Below are 20,429 nucleotides of genomic sequence, written 5' to 3' on the forward strand. Positions count from 1 at the left end.
GTGAAATCATATACAATGTTTCCTTTTGTATCTGGCTTCTTTCACTTCAACTTAATGTTTTCAAGGTTCCTATTATGTAGGATGTATCAGAATTTCATTCCTTTATATGGCTGAATAATATTCCATGTATGGATATACTACATTTTGTTTATCCATTCATCTATTGATGGCCATTTGGATTGTTTCCACCTTTTGGCCTATGTGAATAATGCTGCTATGGACACTGGCATGAAAGTATCCATTTGGGTCTCTGCTTTCAGTTCCTCTGGTATGTATAATACCTAGGAATGATTGCTGGATTATATGGTAATTTTATGTTTAACTTTTTGGGGGAACTGCCGAACTGTTTTCTACAGCAGCTGCAGTTTTACATTCTTACCAGCAATCCACAAGGTTCCAATTTCTCCACACCCTCATGAACACTTGGTTTTTTTTTTCTTTTTTAAATAACATTCTTTTTTTTATTATTATACTTTAAGTTCTGGGATACATGTGCAGAACATGCAGGTTTGTTACATAGGTATACATGTGCCATGGTGGTTTGCTGCACCCATCCCCATCATCTACATTAGGTATTTCTCCTAATGCTATCCCTCCTCTTGTCCCCACCCCACAACAGGCCCCAGTGTGTGATATTCCCCTCCCTGTGTCTGTGTGTTCTCATTGTTTAACTCCCACTTATGACTGAGAACATGCAGTGTTTGGTTTTCTGTTCCTGTGTTAGTTTGCTGAGAATGTCCCTGCAAAGGATGTGACTCATTCTTTTTTATGTCTGCATAGTATTCCATGGTGTATATGTGCCATATTTTCTTTATCCAGTCTATCATTGATGGGCATTTGGGTTGGTTCCAACTCTTTGCTATTGTGAATAGTGCTGCAATAAACATACGTGTGTAAGTGTCTTTATAGTAGAATGATTTCTAATCCTTTGGGTATATACCCAGTAATGGGATTGCTGGGTCAAATGGATTTCTGGTTCTAGATCCTTGAGGAATTGCCACACCGGTTGAACTAATTTACACTCCCACCAACAATGTAAAAGCATTCCTATTTCTCCACATCCTCTCCAGCATCTGATCGCCTTTCTGACTGGTGTGAGATGGTATCTCATTGTGGTTTTGATTTGCATTTCTCTAATGACCAGTGATGATGAGCATGTTTTTCATATGTTTGTTGGTCACAGCAATGTCTTCTTTTGAATAATAGCGTTCTTTTTTTATTATTATTATACTTTAAGTTTTAGGGTACATGTGCACAATGTGCAGGTTAGTTACATATGTATACATGTGCCATGCTGGTGCGCTGCACCCACTAACTCGTCATCTAGCATTAGGTATATCTCCCAATGCTATCCCTCCCCCCTCCCCCCACCCCAAAACAGTCCCCAGAGTGTGATGTTCCCCTTCCTGTGTCCATGTGTTCTCATTGTTCAATTCCCACCTATGAGTAAGAATATGCGGTGTTTGGTTTTTTGTTCTTGCGATAGTTTACTGAGAATGATGATTTCCAGTTTCATCCATGTCCCTACAAAGGACATGAACTCATCATTTTTTATGGCTGCATAGTATTCCATGGTGTATGTGTGCCACATTTTCTTAATCCAGTCTATCATTGTTGGACATTTGGCTTGGTTCCAAGTCTTTGCTATCATGAATAATGCCACAATAAACATACGTGTGCATGTGTCTTTATAGCAGCATGATTTATAGTCCTTTGGGTATATATCCAGTAATGGGATGGCTGGGTCAAATGGTATTTCTAGTTCTAGATCCCTGAGGAATCGCCACACTGACTTCCATAATGGTTGAACTAGTTTACAGTCCCACCAACAGTGTAAAAGTGTTCCTATTTCTCCACATCCTCTCCAGCACCTGTTGTTTCCTGACTTTTTAATGATTGCCATTCTAACTGGTGTGAGATGGTATCTCATTGTGGTTTTGATTTGCATTTCTCTGATGGCCAGTGATGGTGAGCATTTTTTCATGTGTCTTTTGGCTGCATAAATGTCTTCTTTTGAGAAGTGTCTGTTCATAGCCTTCGCCCACTTTTTGATGGGGTTGTTTTTTTCTTGTAAATTTGTTTGAGTTCATTGTAGTTTTTGGATACTAGCCCTTTGTCAGATGAGTAGGTTGCGAAAATTTTCTCCCATTTTGTAGGTTGTCTGTTCATTCTGATGGTAGTTTCTTTTGCTGTGCAGAAGCTCTTTAGTTTAATTAGATCCCATTTGTCAATTTTGTCTTTTGTTGCCATTGCTTTTGGTGTTTTAGACATGAAGTCCTTGCCCATGCCTATGTCCTGAATGTTAATGCCTAGGTTTTCTTCTAGGGTTTTTATGGTTTTAGGTCTAACGTTTAAGTCTTTAATCCATCTTGAATTGATTTTTGTGTAAGGTGTAAGGAAGGGATCCAGTTTCAGCTTTCTACATATGGCTAGCCAGTTTTCCCAGCACCATTTATTAAATAGGGAATCCTTTCCCCATTGCTTGTTTTTCTCAGGTTTGTCAAAGATCAGATATTTGTAGATATGCGGCGTTATTTCTGAGGGCTCTGTTCTGTTCCATTGATCTATATCTCTGTTTTGGTACCAGTACCATGCTGTTTTGGTTACTGTAGCCTTGTAGTATAGTTTGAAGTCAGGTAGTGTGATGCCTCCAGCTTTGTTCTTTTGGCTTAGGATTGACTTGGCAATGCAGGCTCTTTTTTGGTTCCATATGAACTTTAAAGTAGTTTTTTCCAATTCTGTGAAGAAAGTCATTGGTAGCTTGATGGGGATGGCATTGAATCTGTAAATTACCTTGGGCAGTGTGGCCATTTTCAGGATATTGATTCTTCCTGCCCATGAGCATGGAATGTTCTTCCATTTGTTTGTATCCTCTTTTATTTCCTTGAGCAGTGGTTTGTAGTTCTCCTTAGAGGTCCTTCACATCCCTTGTAAGTTGGATTCCTAGGTATTTTATTCTCTTTGAAGCAATTGTGAATGGGAGTTCACTCATGATTTGGCTCTCTGTTTGTCTGTTGTTGGTGTATAAGAATGCTTGTGATTTTTGTACATTGATTTTGTATCCTGAGACTTTGCTGAAGTTGCATATCAGCTTAAGGAGATTTTGGGCTGAGACAATGGGATTTTCTAGATATACAATCATGTCGTCTGCAAACAGGGACAATTTGACTTCCTCTTTTCCTAATTGAATACCCTTTATTTCCTTCTCCTGCCTAATTGCCCTGGCCAGAACTTCCAACACTATGTTGAATAGGAGTGGTGAGAGAGGGCATCCCTGTCTTGTGCCAGTTTTCAAAGGGAATGCTTCCAGTTTTTGCCCATTCAGTATGATATTGGCTGTGGGTTTGTCATAGATAGCTCTTATTATTTTGAGATACGTCCCATCAATACCTAATTTATTGAGAGTTTTTAGCATGAAGGGTTGTTGAATTTTGTCAAAGGCCTTTTCTGCATCTATTGAGATAATCATGTGGTTTTTGTCTTTGGTTCTGTTTATATGCTGGATTACATTTATTGATTTGCATATATTGAACCAGCCTTGCATCCCAGGGATGAAGCCCACTTAATCATGGTGGGTAAGCTTTTTGATGTGCTGCTGGATTCGGTTTGCCAGTATTTTATTGAGGATTTTTGCATCAATGTTCATCAAGGATATCGGTCTAAAATTCTCTTTTTTGGTTGTGTCTCTGCCCGGCTTTGGTATCAGGATGATGCTGGCCTCATAAAATGAGTTAGGGAGGATTCCCTCTTTTTCTATTGATTGGAATAGTTTCAGAAGGAATGGTACCAGTTCCTCCTTGTACCTCTGGTAGAATTCGGCTGTGAATCCATCTGGTCCTGGACTCTTTTTGGTTGGTAAGCTATTGATTATTGCCACAATTTCAGCTCCTGTTATTGGTCTATTCAGAGATTCAACTTCTTCCTGGTTTAGTCTTGGGAGAGTGTGTCGAGGAATTTATCCATTTCTTCTAGATTTTCTAGTTTATTTGCATAGAGGTGTTTGTAGTATTCTCTGATGGTAGTTTGTATTTCTGTGGGATCGGTGGTGATATCCCCTTTATCATTTTTATTGCGTCTATTTGATTCTTCTCTCTTTTTTTCTTTGTTAGTCTTGCTAGCGGTCTATCAATTTTGTTGATCCTTTCAAAAAACCAGCTCCTGGATTCATTAATTTTTTGAAGGGTTTTTTGTGTCTCTATTTCCTTCAGTTCTGCTCTGATTTTAGTTATTTCTTGCCTTCTGCTAGCTTTCGAATGTGTTTGCTCTTGCTTTTCTAGTTGTTTAAATTGTGATGTTAGGGTGTCAATTTTGGATCTTTCCTGCTATCTCTTGTGGGCATTTAGTGCTATAAATTTCCCTCTACACACTGCTTTGAATGTGTCCCAGAGATTCTGGTATGTTGTGTCTTTGTTCTCGTTGGTTTCAAAGAACATATTTATTTCTGCCTTCATTTCGTTATGTACCCAGTAGTCATTCAGGAGCAGGTTGTTCAGTTTCCATGTAGTTGAGCGGTTTTGAGTGAGATTCTTAATCCTGAGTTCTAGTTTGATTGCACTGTCATCTGAGAGATAGTTTGTTATAATTTCTGTTCTTTTACATTTGCTGAGGAGAGCTTTACTTCCAAGTATGTGGTCAATTTTGGAATAGGTGTGGTGTGGTGCTGAAAAAAATGTATATTCTGTTGATTTGGGGTGGAGAGTTCTGTAGATGTCTATTAGATCCGCTTGGTGCAGAGCTGAGTTCAATTCCTGGGTATCCTTGTTGACTTTCTGTCTCGTTGATCTGTCTAATGTTGACAGTGGGGTGTTAAAGTCTCCCACTATTAATGTGTGGGAGTCTAAGTCTCTTTGTAGGTCACTCAGGACTTGCTTTATGAATCTGGGTGCTCCTGTATTGGGTGCATATATATTTAGGATAGTTAGCTCCTCTTGTTGAATTGATCCCTTTACCATTATGTAATGGCCTTCTTTGTCTCTTTTGATCTTTGTTGGTTTAAAGTCTGTTTTATCAGAGACTAGGATTGCAACCCCTGCCTTTTTTTGTTTTCCATTTGCTTGGTAGATCTTCCTCCATCCTTTTATTTTGAGCCTATGTGTGTCTCTGCACATGAGATGAGTTTCCTGAATACAGCACACTGATGGGTCTTGACTCTTTATCCAGTTTGCCAGTCTGTGTCTTTTAATTGGAGCACTTAGTCCATTTACATTTAAAGTTAATATTGTTATGTGTGAATTTGATCCTGTCATTATGATGTTAGCTGGTTATTTTGCTCGTTAGTTGATGCAGTTTCTTCCTAGTCTCGATGGTCTTTACATTTTGGCATGATTTTGCAGCAGCTGGTACCGGTTGTTCCTTTCCATGTTTAGCGCTTCCTTCAGGAGCTCTTTTAGGGCAGGCCTGGTGGTGACAAAATCTCTCAGCATTTGCTTGTCTGGAAAGTATTTTATTTCTCCTTCACTTATGAAGCTTAGTTTGGCTGGATATGAAATTCTGGGTTGAAAATTCTTTTCTTTAAGAATGTTGAATATTGGCCCCCACTCTCTTCTGGCTTGTAGAGTTTCTGCCGAGAGATCCACTGTTAGTCTGAGGGGCTTCCCTTTGAGGGTAACCCGACCTTTCTCTCTGGCTGCTCTTAACATTTTTTCCTTCATTTCCACTTTGGTGAATCTGACAATTATGTGTCTTGGAGTTGCTCTTCTCGAGGAGTATCTTTGTGGCGTTCTCTGTATTTCCTGAATCTGAATGTTGGCCTGCCTTGCTAGATTGGGGAAGTTCTCCTGGATAATATCCTGCAGAGTGTTTTCCAACTTGGTTCCATTCTCCCCGTCACTTTCAGGTACACCAATCAGACATAGATTTGGTCTTTTCACATAGTCCCATATTTCTTGGAGGCTTTGTTCATTTCTTTTTATTCTTTTTTCTCTAAACTTCCCTTCTCGCTTCATTTCATTCATTTCATCTTCCATCGCTGATACCCTTTCTTCCAGTTGATCGCATCGGCTGCTGAGGCTTCTGTATTCTTCACGTAGTTCTTGAGCCTTGGTTTTCAGCTCCATCAGCTCCTTTAAGCACTTCTCTGTATTGGTTATTCTAGTTATACATTCTTCTAAATTTTTTTCAAAGTTTTCAACTTCTTTGCCTTTGGTTTGAATGTCCTCCCGTAGCTCGGAGTAATTTGATCGTCTGAAGCCTTCTTCTCTCAGGTCGTCAAAGTCATTCTCCGTCCCGCTTTGTTCTGTTGCTGGTGAGGAACTCTACTCCTTTGGAGGAGGAGAGGCGCTCTGCTTTTTAGAGTTTCCAGTTTTTCTGCTCTGTTTTTTCCCCATCTTTGTGGTTTTATCTACTTTTGGTCTTTGATGATGGTGATGTACAGATGGGTTTTTGGTGTGGATGTCCTTTCTGTTTGTTAGTTTTCCTTCATACAGACAGGACCCTCAGCTGCAGGTCTGTTGGAGTACCCGGCCGTGTGAGGTGTCAGTCTACCCCTGCTGGGGGGTGCCTCCCAGTTAGGCTGCTCGGGGGTCAGGGGTCAGGGACCCACTTGAGGAGGCAGTCTGCCCATTCTCAGATCTCCAGCTGCGTGCTGGGAGAACCACTGCTCTCTTCAAAGCTGTCAGACAGGGACGTTTAAGTCTGCAGAGGTTACTGCTGTCTTTTTGTTTGTCTGTGCCCTGCCCCCAGAGGTGGAGCCTATAGAGGCAGGCACGTCTCCTTGAGCTGTGGTGGGCTCCACCCAGTTCGAGCTTCCTGGCTGCTTTGTTTACCTAAGCAAGCCTGGGCAATGGCGGGCGCCCCTCCCCCAGCCTCGCTGCCGCCTTGCAGTTTGATCTCAGACTGCTGTGCTAGCAGTCAGCGAGACTCCGTGGGCGTAGGACACTCTGAGCCATGTGCGGGATATAATCTCCTGGCGCGCCATTTTTTAAGCCGGTCGGAAAAGTGCAGTATTCGGGTGGGAGTGACCCAATTTTCCAGGTGCCGTCTGTCACCCCTTTCTTTGACTAGGAAAGGGAACTCCCTGACCCCTTGCGCTTCCCGAGTGAGGCAATGCCTCGCCCTGCTTCGGCTCACGCATGGTGCATGCACCCACTGACCTGCGCCCACTGTCTGGCACTCCCTAGTGAGATGAACCCGGTACCTCAGATGGAAATGCAGAAATCACCTGTCTTCTGCGTTGTTGACACTGGGAGCTGTAGACCGGAGCTGTTCCTATTCAGCCATCTTGGCTCCTCCCCTCCCCGCCCCACCCCCTTTTTTTTTTTTTTTGAGACGCAGTCTCGCTCTGTCGCCCAGGCTGGAGTGTAGTGGCAGGATCTTGGCTCACTGCAAGCTCTGCCTCCTGGGTTCACGCCATTCTCATGCCTCAGCCTCCCAAGTAGCTGGGACTACGGGTGCCTGCCACCACGCCTGGCTAATTTTTTGTATTTTTTAGCAGGGACAGGGTTTCACTGTGTTAGCCAGGATGGTCTTGATCTCCTGACTTTGTGATCCACCCGCCTCGACCTCCCTAAGTGCTGGGATTACAGGCGTGAGCCACCGCGCCCGGCCAATAGCATTCTTAATAAGTGTGAAATGGTATCACTTTGTGATTTTGATCTGCATTTCCCTAATGGCCAGTGATACTGAACATCTTTACATGTCCTTATTTATTGGCCATTTGTATATCTTTGAAGAAATAGCCATTCCAGTCATCCATTTATTTTTTTAAATGTTTAAAACTTTTTATTTGTTTTTTATTTTTTAAACACAGGGCTTCACTCTGTTGCCCAGGCTAGAATGCAGTGGCATGATTGTAAGCTCACTGCAGCCTCAATCTCCTAGGCTCAAGGGATCCTCTAGCCTCAGCCTCCCATATTGCTAGTACTACAGGCACATACCACCACACCTGTCTAATTATTATTTTGTAGACACAGGGTCTTGCTAGGTAATCCAGGCTGGCCTTGAACTCCTGGGCTAGAGTGATCCTCCCACCTTGGCCTCCCAAAGTGCTGGTATTACAAGCATGATTCACCATGCCCAAACCTTTGTCCATTTTTGTAATTGGGTTGTTTATTTTGTTGTTGGATTGTAGGAGTTTTCATGTATTCTAGATACTAAATTCTTATGAGATATATGACTTACAAATGCAGTTGATCGTTGAACAAGTGGTAGTGGTGGATACCAACCCCCGTGTAGTCAAATATTTGCGTGTAACTACTTTTTTTTTTCTTTTCTTGAGACAAGGTCCAGCACTGTTGCTTAGGCTGGAGTGCAGTGGCAAGATCATAGCTTACTGCAGCCTGGAACTCCTGGACTGAAGTGGTTTCCTGTCTCAGCCTCCCAAGTAGCTAGAACTGCAGGCATGCAGCACAGCTCGCTAATTTTTTTTTTTTTTTTTTTTTTTTTTTTTTTTTTTTTTTTTTTTTTTTTTTAGAGACAGGTTCTTGCTGTGTTGCCCAGGTTGGTTTTGAACTCCTGGTCCCAAACAGTCCTCCTGCCTCAGCCTCCCAAAGTGCTGAAATTACAGGCATGAGCCTCGACACTCAGTCTGCGTTTATCTTTTGATTTCCACAAAACTTAACTACTAATAGCCTACTGTTGATTAGAAGCCTTAATAATATATAAACAGCTAACATATATTTTGTATATGTATTCAATACTGCATTCTTAAAGTAAGCTAGAGAAAAAGTGTTATTAAAAATCATAAAGAGAAAATATATTTACTATTCATTAACTGAACGTGGATCATTATACAAGTCTTCATGCCCATCACCTTCATGTTGAATAGGCTGAGGAAGAGCAGAAGTTGGTCTTGCTGTCTCAGGTCTGGCAGAGGTGGAAAAAAATTTGCACATAATTGGAACTGCGTAGTTCAAAGGCGTGTTCCAAGGCTGGCTGTATTTTCTCCCATTTTGTGGGTTGTCTTTTCACTTTCTTGATAGTGTCCTTTGTTCCACAAAAGTTTTTAATTTTATGAAGGCCAATTTAATTATTGTTTCTTTTGTTGCTTGTGCTTTTGGTGTCATATCCAAGATAACATTATCAAATCTGACATCATGATGCTTCTTCCCTATGCTTTCTTCTAAGAGTTTTATAGGTTTAGATCTTTGATTCATTTTGAGTTAATTTTGTACAAAGTATAAGGTAAGGGCCCAGCTTCATTATTTTGAATTGGATATTCAGTTTTTCCAGCACTATTTGTTGAAAACACTGTCTTTTCCCCCATTGAATGGTCTTGGCACCCTTGTTAAAAGTGAAAGTTTATTTCTGGACTTTCTATTTTGTTCCATTTGTCTGTGTATCTGTCCTTATGTCAGTACCACACTGTTTTGATTACTGTAGTTGTGTTGTAACTTTTGAAATCAAAACGTGTGAGTCTTCCAACTTTGTTCTTTTTCAAGATTGTTTTGGTTATTCAGTGTCTCTTAAGATTCCATGTGACTTTTAGGATGGGTTTTTCTGTTTCCCCAAGAAATATAGTATGATATTGAGTATGATATTATCATTTGCTAATGTATTGAAACTCAACTGATTTTTACATGTGAATTTTGTGTCTAGCAGCTTTGCTGAATTAATTTGTTTTAACAAGTGAGAGAGAGAGAAGGTGTGTGTATGTAATTTGGGGGCATTTTCTCATGTATAAGATCATGTCATCTATGAACAGAGAAATGTCATTGGGATTTTAACAGGGATTACATTGAATTGTAAATCACTTTGGATAGCATTGACATCTTAACAATTTTAAGTCATCTTATCCATGAACACCGGATTTTTTTCATTTAGTTAGATCTTATTTAATATCTTTCAACAGTTTTGTGTGGTTTTCAGCATAACAATTTTTGGCCCATTTGCTCAAGTTTATTCTTAATTCTTTTAGATGTTGTTGTAAACGGAATTGCTTTTTTAAATTTCCTCTTCAATTTGCTCATTTACTAATGTATTAAAACACAACTGATTTTTACATGTGAATTTTGTGTCTAGCAACTTTGCTGAATTAATTTGGTAGCCCTAACGGGGTGTGTGTGTGTGTGTGTGTGTGTGTGTGTGTGTGTGTGTGTGTGTATAATTTGGGGGGATTTTCTTACATAGAAGATCATGTCATCCATGAACAGAGATATTTATACTTTTTCCTTTCTGATTTGGATGCCTTTTGTCTTTTTACCTAATGCCTCTGGCTAGGATTTCCAATATCATGTTGAATACAAGATGAAGAAGCAGGCTTCCTTGTCTTATTCCTGTCTTAAGGGAAAAGCGTTTGTCTTTGACCATTGAGTATGATATTATCTGTGAGTTTTTCCCAAATGACCTTTACCATGTTGAGTAAGTTTCCTTCTGTCTCTTGTTTATTGAGTGTTTTTGTCAAGAAAGGGTGTTCAATTTTTCAAATTCTTTTTTGCAACAATTGAGATGATCATGTTTTGGTCTTTTCTCCTTCATCCTGTCAATGTGGTGTATTACATTGATTTTGGATTTTGTTTTGTTTCCTTGTTGGTTTGTTTGGAGACAGGGTCTCCCTCAGTTGCCCAGGCTGGAATGCAGTAGCATGATCTCAGCTCACGGCAACATTTGCCTCCCAGACTCAAGCAGTCCTCCCGCCTCAGCCTTCTGAGTTGCTGGGACCAAAGGTGCACACCACCACACCAGGCTAATTTTTACAATTTTTTTATTTTAGAAATGAGGTCTCACTATGTTACACAGGCTGGTCTCAAACTCCTGAGCTGAAGTGATCCTTTCACCTTACCCTCCCAAAGTGCTGGGAGTACAGCCGTGGGCCACTGCGCCTGCTGCATTGATTTTCATATGTCATTATCCTTGCATTTTAAAAATAAATCCCACTAGATAAAGGTGTATAATCTTTTTATCATAAATTTGTTTAACATCATTGTTGCCTTGGCATCCATTTTTAGGCCTAACATAAGTTGTTTAAAACTGAGTTATACCACCTCATCTTTGGCCTAGTTAAAACTTTCCCTCCCCATGTGGCTGTTTGCAGTGTGGGTCACTTGTTCTACATCTCACTGACCCAACATATCCCATAGCTGCTTACCACAATAAAACCAGAATCAACACCAGAGTCATGCAAATAATTTCCCCCCTTTACACATATTTTCTTTAAATTAGCCAGTTCACAACCCCTGCTGGAAAGCCTTAAGAGGTAATGCCTGTGGACCTTAATAAAGGCAGAGTTCCACAGATTCACTCTTATCTGTGATTAACAAAATGCTGCTTTTATTTCATGTGTTTTGTTTTGCTGCCTCTGTGTCTCACCTGACTGACATACACATACCTAACTTTCCTCCCAGTCAGCACTCCTGGAGAGTGGCTATCTTGGCAGGAATAAACTGGACACAGGTCGGACAAGAACCACGAGGGCATCTGCTAGTATAAACAAGTTTCCTGTGAGACATACACTTGGCCACAGGTCAGGCAAGAAGGCATTGTCCCATTCACCAAGATAAAGAAGTATCCTCTTTTGATTTACTGTAAACATCAGTGACCACCTCCTCTAGAGCCTTGTCGGGGCAGAGCTAGAGTTCCTGGCCACTCTCCAGAGAGAGACCCGAAGACCAAGTTAGAAGAAAACAAAATCTTTTAATATGCTGAATTTGGTTTATTAGTATTTCATTGAGGATATTTGCATCAGTATTGCAAGGGATATTGATCTGTAATTTTCTTATAGTGTCTTCATATAGCTTTGTTATCAGGGTAATGCAGCCTCTTAGAGTTAGTATTCCTCCATCTTTTTGTTTTTTGGAAGAATTTGAGATGGAATGGTGTTAATTCTTCTTTAAATGTTTGGTAGAATTCAGCAGTGAATCTATCTGGTCCAGGGCTTTTCATGTGTAGGAGGTTTTTGAATCCTGTTTGAACCTCTTTACTAGTTATAAGTCTACTCGGATTTTCTGATTCATGAGTCAGTCTTGGAAGGTTGTGTGTTTCTAGGAATTTGTCCATTTCATGTAGGTTATCCAGTTTGTTGGCATACAATTGTCTTCAATAATCTCTTACAATTTTTTACTTCTTGGCCGGGCATGGTGGCTCACACCTGTTATCTCAGTACTTTGGAAGGCCGAGCCAGGTGGATCACTTGAGGTCAGGAGTTTGAGACCAGCCTGGCCAACATGTCAAAACCCCATCTGTACTAAAAATACAAAAATTAGCCAGCTGTGGTGGTGGGCACCTGTAGTCCCAGCTACTCGGGAGGCTGAGGCAGGAGAATTGCTTGAACCCAGGAGGCAGAAGTTGCAGTGAGCTGAGAGTGTGCCACTGCATTCCAGCCTGGGTGACAGCAAGACTTCATCTCAAAAAAAAAAAAAATTTTTTTTTTCTTAAAATTGGTAGTATTGTCTGCACTTTTATTTCTGATTTTATTAACTTCAGACTTCTCTTTCTTTTCTAGTTATTCTAGCTAAAGATTTGTCAATTTTGCTGATCTTTTCAAATAATCAACTTTTGGCTTTATTGATGTTCTGTTTCTTTATCCTGTCTCATTTATTTTTGCTCTAATCTTTATTATTTCTTCTGCTACTTTTGGGTAATTTTCTCTTTTTCTGTTGTCTTATGGTATATAGTTAGGTTCTTAATTTGCAATATTTTAAAATTGTGTATATAGCTATAAATTTCCCTCTTAGCACTGTTTTATTGCATCTCATGAGTTTGGTATGTTTTGTTTTCATATTCCTTTGTCTTGAAGCATTTTCTAATTTCTCTTAGGATTTCTTCTTTGACCTGTTGGTAGTTTGTGGTGTTTAGTTTCTACATATTTGAATTTTGCAGTTTTTCTCGTTTTTGATTTCCAGTTTCCTTTCATTGTCATAGAGACAAATACATTTTATGATTTCAATTTTTTGAAATGTATTAAGACATTTTGCAGCCTAACATATGGTCTATTCTGAGAATGTTCTAAGTGGCCTTGTAGGAAAAAAAAAGAAAAGGTATATTTTACTATTGGCTAGAGTGTTTTGTGTATGTCTGTTAGGACCTGTTGGTTTACAGTGTTATTCAAGTCTTCTGTTTCCTTATTGATACTCTGTCTGGATGTTTTATGCACTATTGAAAGTGGAATATTAAAGCCTTCTATTTTTATTATTGAACTGTCTATTTTTTCCTTCAATTCTGTCAATGTTTGCTTCATATATTTGGGTCTTTGATGTGTACTGCATAATTGCTTATAATTGTTATATCTTACTGGTGAATTGGCCTTTTTATCAATTTATAATGTCCTTTCTCTCTTGTAAGAATTTTTTATTTAAAGTCTGTTTTGCCTGATACCACCAGTAAAGCCATCTCAGATCTCTCTTGATTACTATTTGCATGGAGTATTTTCTTCCATCCTTTGACTTTCAACCTGTGTATAGCATAAGGTATAAAGTGTATCTCTTGTGGACAGCATATAGTTGGATCATGTTTTTTTTTAATTAATTCTGCCAATCTTTGTCTTTTAATTGGAGAGTTTAATACATTTACATTTAAAGTAATTACTGATAAGGAAAGACTTCTGCCATTTGCTGTTTTCTGTATCTTATCACACTTTTATTCCTTCTTTCCTCCATTAGAGCCCTCTTTTGTGTTTAGTTGCTTTTTTCTTTTTAGTATGATGTATTTTTTAAAATCTCTTTTGTAATTGTGTTAAAAAACACACAGAATTTATTATCTTAACCATTTTTTAGTGTAACTTCAGTAGTGTTAACCATATTCGTATTACCATGCAATAGATTTCTAGAACATTTTCATCTTGCAAACTGAAACTATACTCGTTAAACAACAGCACATTTCTCCCTGCTTCCAACCTCTGGCCAGCACAATATTACTTCTGCATTTTTATGAATTTTACTATGTTAGATACCTTGTATAAGTGGTCTCAGACAGAATTTGTCTTTCTGTGACTGGCTTATTTTACTTATAATAATGTCCTAAAGATTCATCCATGTTGTAAGCATTGATAGGATTTCCTATTTTAAGGCTGAATAATACTTCTTTGTATGTATATACTGCATTTTAAAAATCCCTTCATTTGTCAGTGGACATTTGGATTGTCTGCTGTAATGAACATGGAAATGCAAATATTATAGTATCAGGTTTTGCTTCCCTTCTTGTTTCCTTTTTGTGTTTATCTTGTAGATTATTTTTTATCATTACCATGGAGATTACATATAACATCCTAAAGTTATAACAATCCAATATGAGTTAATACCAACATAATTTTAACTTCACAAAAAACTACTTCTCTGCAGCTCTCTTTTTCCAGTATTTTTGATGTCACAAATTAATCTCTATACTGTGTGCTCAATAACATAGATTTGTAATTATTTATGCATTTGTCTTTTAAATCCTGTAGAAAATAAAAAAGTAGAATTATAAACCAAAATTGCAATAATACTGACTTTCCCATTTACCCATGTATTTACCTTCACCAGAGATCTTAATATCCTCATGTGACTTTGAGGTACTGTCTAGTGTCCTCTCATTGCAACCTGAAGGACTTCCATTAGCATTTCTTACAGGGCAGATCTAGTGGTAATAGAGTCCCTCAGCCCTTGTTTACCTAGGACTGTCTTAATTTTTCTCACGTTTTTGAAGGTTAGTTTTGCCAAATGTATAATTTTCAGTTGACAGGTTGTGTTTTTCTTTAGTACATCATATATATCTCTGTCTTCCCATTTCCTTCTGGCTTCCAAAATTTCTTTCTTGTCTCTTTTTTCTTTTTTCTTTTTTTTTTTTTTTTTTGAGACAAGAGTCTTGCTCTCTTGCCCAGGCTGGAGGCAGTGGCACGATCTCTGCTCACTGCAGTCTCTGCCTCCTGGGTTCAAGCGATTGTCCTGCCCCAGCCTCCCTAGTAGCTGGGATTTCAGGTGTGCACCACGATGCCTGGCTAATTTTTATATTTTTAGTAGAGATGGGGTTTCACCATGTTGGCCAGGCTGGTCTAGAACTCCTGACCTCAGATGATCTGCCTGCCTTGGCCTCCCAAAGTGCTGGGATTACAGGCATGAGCCACCGCACCTGGCCTTTTTGTTTTGTTTTGTTTTGTTTTTATTTTTGAGATGGAGTTTTGCTCTGTCACCCAGGTTGGAGTACAGTGGTGCGATCTTGGCTCACGGCAACCTCTGCCTCCCGGGTTCAAGCAATTCTTCTGCGTCAGCCTCTTGAGTAGCTGGGACTACAGGTGCCCACCACCACGCCCGGCTAATTTTTGTATTTTTAGTAGAGATAGCTTTTGGCTATGTTGGCCAGGCTGATCTCAAGCTCCTGACCTCAAGTGATCACCCCCCTTGGCCTCCCCAAAGTGCTGGGATTACAGTCGTAGGCCACCACGCCCAGCCTGGCCTCCAAGATTTCTAATATGAGAAACTGACTTATAATCTTCTTGAGTCTCTTTGTATATGACATGTTGCATCTCTTTTGCTGCTTCCCAGATTTTCTCTTTGGCTTTGCCTTTTTAGAGTTTGATTATGTGTCTTGGTGTATGATTCTTTGGGTTTATCCTATTTGGAGTCTAATAGTGTCTTAGTTCCCTGGAGCTGGTGTAACAAATTACTGTTAATTGGGCAGCTTAAACAACAGAATTTATTGTCAACAGTTTTGGAGTCTAGAAGTATGAGATCAGTTTGTCAGAAGAGTTGATTTCTTCTGAGGGGTTTGAGGGAAAATCCATTTCACCTCTCTGCTTTAGATTTTGGTGGCTTGCTGGCAATCTTTTGTGCACCTTTGCCTTTGCTGCATCACCCTGATCTCTCCCTTCATCTTCACATGGAGTTCTCCTTGTATATTTGTCTGTACCCAAATTTTGCCGTTTTTATAAAGACATTGATCATACTGAATTAGGGCCCATCCTAATGACCTCATTTTAACATGATTATAAAGAACCTGTATCGAAATTAGGTCATATTTGAGATACTGGAGATTATAGCTCTCCAACATATCTTTGGGGGAAGATACAAATCAACTCCTAACATTAGACTTCTTGGATTTGTAGGTTCATGTCTTTCTTTAAATTGGGGACTTCTACCATTTTTAAAAATAATTTTTTGCCTCTTTGTCTCTCTCTTCCTTCTATGACTTTCATAATGTCTCTGTTGGTTCACTTGAGCCCCTTAGGCTCTGTTTACTTCTCTCCATTCTTTTTTCTTTCTGCTTCTCAGACTCGATATTTAAATTTTCCTATCTTCAAGTTCACTGATTATTTTTCTTCTTTCCACTCAATGCTGCTTTTGAACCCCTCTATTGAATTTTTTCTCCTTAGTTATTATACTTTTGAGCTCCAGAATTTCCTTTTTATAATTTGTATCACTTGCTGATATTCCCATTTTATTCATACATCATTTTCCGAATTTTCTTTAGTTCTTTGTTTTCCCTTAACCCTTTTAACATATTTAAGACAGTTGAGTATTTTTGATTTGCATTTTTTTTCTGGTTGCACATGTCTGCATAATTATTAAAATAATTTCAGAAAATAATGAAGCCGTTTCTTTGTCATCTCGCACGAAGAAAGTTAAGGACACGGACACACATGAGGAGTTTAGGAGTGGCGGTTTAATATGCAGAAGAAAGAGAAAGGAGAACAGCTCTGTCTCTAGTGAGAGAAAGGGGCTTCTGAAAGGGAAAGACTGGCTGGAGGTGGATGTGCCGGATTTTGTAGGCAGGTTTAAGGAGGTGGTGTCTGATTACATAGGGCCCACAGATTGGTTCAGTCAGGTTTGATGTTTACATAGCACGCCAGAAAGGCTGGCCACCCCACCCTAATCTTATTATGCAAATGGGCTTTCTACTTGACTGGCACCATCCTGTGTGCTTCTTACTGTACATGTGGCTGGCAAGGCGAGAAGGGAGGATGGAGCCGCCATTTTGAACAGGATTGGCGCAACTGCCGGCATCTGTGTCTGCAGCTCAATTTTATAGGCTACTCTTTGTTAGAAAATGATTTGGGGGCTGCTTTTCACTGAAAAGGAAAACCTTGCCGAGGACTCCTTCCTGTATTCTCACTCTCTGCCTAAGTAATTTCTTTTTTTTGTTTTTGTTTTTTTTTTGAGATGGAGTCTCACTGTGTGCCCCTGGCTAGAGTGCAGTGGCATGATCTTGGCTGACTGCAACGTGCACCTCCCAGGTTCAAGCAATTCTTCTGGCTCAGCCTCCCAAGTAGCTGGGATTACTTGCATGCACCACCACACCTGACTAATGTTGTATTTTTAGTAGAGATGGGGTTTCGCCATGTTGGCCTGGCTGGTCTCGAACTTCTGACCTCAGGTGATCCACCCGCTTGGCCTCCCAAAGTGCTGGGATTTTAGGCATCAGCCACTGCACCCAGTCTCAGTAATTTCTTTTTAACTCCTGTGTCAATATGAAACGAAACCTAAAGGGTCGTGAATATAAAATGAAATGACAGAGGTCCCTGATGCTGTGACACAGAAACTTCTGATATCAGTCAGTACCTGCAAGCCCTATTCAGTCCCTTTTCAGGATTACTGCTTACTTCTGGTTTTCAGTGAGGTCAGGAATTCTTGACACTTTGTGTCATATCTTTACAGTTAGTTTCATACTTTCGTATGTTTTCATGTTAATGTCCTTTCATTTCAACTTTAAGAACTCATAGAATTTCTTGTAAGGCAGGTATAGTGGTGATGAACTCCCATAGCTCTTGTTTGGGATTAAGAGAGTTGTGTTCTTTTTTTAAAAGAAAAAAAAACGGAGTCTGGCTCTGTCACCCACACTGGAGTGCAATGGCATGATGTCAGCTCCCTGCAACCTCCACCTCCCAGGTTCAAGCAATTCTCCTGCCTCAGCCTCCTGAATAGCTGGGATTACAGGCGCCTGCCACCACACCTGAGTAATTTTTGTATTTTTAGTAAAGACAGAGTCTCACCATGTTGGCCAGGCTGGTCTTGAACTCCTGACCTCATGATCTGCCCGCCTCAGCTTCCCAAAGTGCTGGGATTACAGGTGTGAGCCACCACGCCCGGCCAAGAGAGTTGTTTTAAAAGCTGTAGTAGTTCATTTGTTTTGGTACTTTTCCAAACTGTTTCAAAGACCATTCCTTGTCATGTATGATCACTGAAGTCTGTTGTTTCTTTGGCTTGTACTCAGCTAATGATTGACAGAGTTCCTTGAATGTCAGGAGCTGAAACAAAGAAGAGACAGAGAAAGAGGAAGGCGCCATCTTTCCTAGACTTTGTGGACTAGCTCTTTGGTGGGCACTTCTTCACCATTTAGAGAGGCTGAGCCTAGGAATCAGCCTGAGGTCATAGTTAAAGTCTTTTTATTTCTTTTCTGGGCATGCATCTTGTCAGGGCAGACATGTGGCTTTGTAAACTCTACCATATATATGACTGCTTTTGAATGTCCTAATTTCGTAAAGATTCTCACCCCAGATTCTCCTCCTGGCCTTAGATGGTCTATTGTATGTTTCTACTCATAAACTCTTCCTTCCAAGCATCTGTGCTTGGTACTCCCCTTTGCCACGTTTACAAGTGGTCCCTGCAGTTCTTCCTGCCTGTGTTCCAAGTTATATGAAACAAAAACTAGCTCTTTGCATCAGTCTTGCAGGTATCTCCCGGACTTAGGATACATATACACAGTAATTTGCATATAAGTTCTGGTCTGTTCCCTCTGGTTCAGGGGAGGGAACTGAGAACTGGACTGCCACTGCTTAAGACCAAGACCATTGTCATTCTGGGAAGAGGGTAGGGTGAGGCAAGTAAAAATACCACAAAACTTTCCTACCATTTAGAAAATTGCTTTTACTTCATTAGGCTTCTTGGTTACTGTAAACTTTGGATTGCTTTGTAGAGATCTGATCTAATAAAGTTGGTTGAGACACTTTCTCATTTTTTCAATGTTTCTGTATTGGAAGAAGAACTTAAAGCTTCCTAATCTATTTTGTTGGCGTCATTCCTCTGCTGAATTTTTAAATGTTCACTCTGGCTTACCTGTTAATGGAAGAATTTGCATAATATCTACTTAGAAAGGTAAGTTAAAAGTAGTTTTAAAGTAATTTAAATGAAATAACAAGATAAGGATTCAGAAAATTTTCACTTGCATCATTATACTCACAAGAAAAAAATTCATTTTTTCCATTGAAATAGATTTCAAAATATTTTTTAACATTAAGAATTGGTATTTGGAGAAATAAACTTATAATCCTTGATTTTTTTGGTAGTATAGGAAACTTTAGAAACTTTTTTGATTATAATAGATAGCACCATTTAATAAGAGAAAAGTCTGTATTACTAAAGAATGCAATCATTCCACAAACCTTACTGAATCATTGATTTAAGGAAGAATTATCAATTCACATTAAGATGGATGGTTGATAAGATACTGGATATTCATATAATGCCAAAGTAGCACCACATAAATTCTTAAGACTTCGTTATTACAAGGGCATAAACAGAACTATACACATTGAGAGGGGTCAGGATCATCACTGCAATCGATAAATGAATCTTAGCATATTAGTAGTCATTAAGTATTAGGCCTTGATGTGTTGCAACTTGAGTATGAAAAAGCCACCTATGACACAGTCTAGCCAAAAAGATTTGCCTTGGATCCATCAAACCCTTAGGAGTAACTTTCAGCCTTTGGAAAATTCAGCAGATAGACCTTACTCTATGGAAGAATAAGCTAAATAGCAGCATGAGGATATAACCACATAAATCCATAAGGTATGGGGCATTCTGCAGAAAAATAAGCTGGCTGTCTTCAACAAGACATGTTCATTAAAAGCAGAGGACTGTACTAGATTATAAAAGTGTTATGGAGATAACAATCAGAAGCAGTATATAATCTTGGTTTGTAATGGGTTTGGATCAGTTAAGGAAAACTAAATGTGAGCTAGAAATACTAGTAGGAACAGTTACTGAAATAGAACAAGTGAGAAATGATAGAAAAATGTAAGTGATTGTATGTGTGGTAAAGTCTAGTTTTGGTAAAAACATATACAGTGAGTGTGTGTATGTATGGAAAAATATCTTGAAGAATATATACACTAAGTTGTCTAGCAGAATGTGACTTTATTTTTATGTCTATACTAATTTTCTATACTGGTTCTGCAATAAAATTTTGTAAAATAAATTACGTAACACAATTGATAGATTTACATTCAATTCAAGTTTTAATGTTTCATAATTTCAATGACAGTGCTTGTAATTCATTCAACACTTACATTTTAAGTTTCTGTGAAATGACAGTGCTTTATCCCTTTATTTACTAGATAGAGGGCCTGGATATTTTATTTCTATTAAAGACAATCGAGGAATTCTATAAAAGTGAAGATGGAGAAAATCTGGAAATCCTCTGTCCAGTTCAAGATCAAGCCTGTGTAGCTAAATTTGAAGATGGAATTTGGTACCGAGCAAAAGTTATCGGTAGGAGAATGCATGCTGTTTCTACAGGGAGATGTCATACTTCAAAACTAATATCATTTGAGTTGGTACCAATTCAATCTTGGAAGTAATGTT

General features: G+C 39.2%; 1 protein-coding gene across 17 annotated transcripts in view, besides 2 other annotated features; it reads left to right on the forward strand.

Annotated features, from left to right (window-relative positions):
• Nucleotides 1-20,429, forward strand: part of RNF17 (ring finger protein 17) — a 140,815-nt gene that overhangs the window by 57,670 nt on the left and 62,716 nt on the right. For 16 of the 17 annotated variants that reach the window (XM_011535156.3, XM_011535152.3, XM_011535158.3 and 13 more), the window contains one exon: nucleotides 20,183-20,336. In XM_011535156.3, the coding sequence (XP_011533458.1) occupies nucleotides 20,183-20,336 (154 nt within the window). Of the gene's footprint in view, nucleotides 1-20,182; nucleotides 20,337-20,429 lie in introns of those variants that run through there. The other variant, XM_011535164.3, reaches the window with a different exon arrangement.
• Nucleotides 17,875-18,169: an enhancer, noted in NCBI's record as "tiled region #11275; HepG2 Activating DNase matched - State 9:DNaseU". NCBI's record gives its function as "activates a minimal TATA promoter and a strong SV40 promoter by Sharpr-MPRA in HepG2 cells {active_cell/tissue: HepG2}" and the evidence as "EXISTENCE:reporter gene assay evidence [ECO:0000049][PMID:27701403]".
• Nucleotides 17,875-18,169: a silencer, noted in NCBI's record as "tiled region #11275; K562 Repressive non-DNase unmatched - State 24:Quies". NCBI's record gives its function as "represses a minimal TATA promoter and a strong SV40 promoter by Sharpr-MPRA in K562 cells {active_cell/tissue: K562}" and the evidence as "EXISTENCE:reporter gene assay evidence [ECO:0000049][PMID:27701403]".

The sequence above is a fragment of the Homo sapiens genome, chromosome 13 (assembly GCF_000001405.40).
Source record: "Homo sapiens chromosome 13, GRCh38.p14 Primary Assembly".
Classification (NCBI taxonomy): Eukaryota; Metazoa; Chordata; class Mammalia; order Primates; family Hominidae; genus Homo; species Homo sapiens.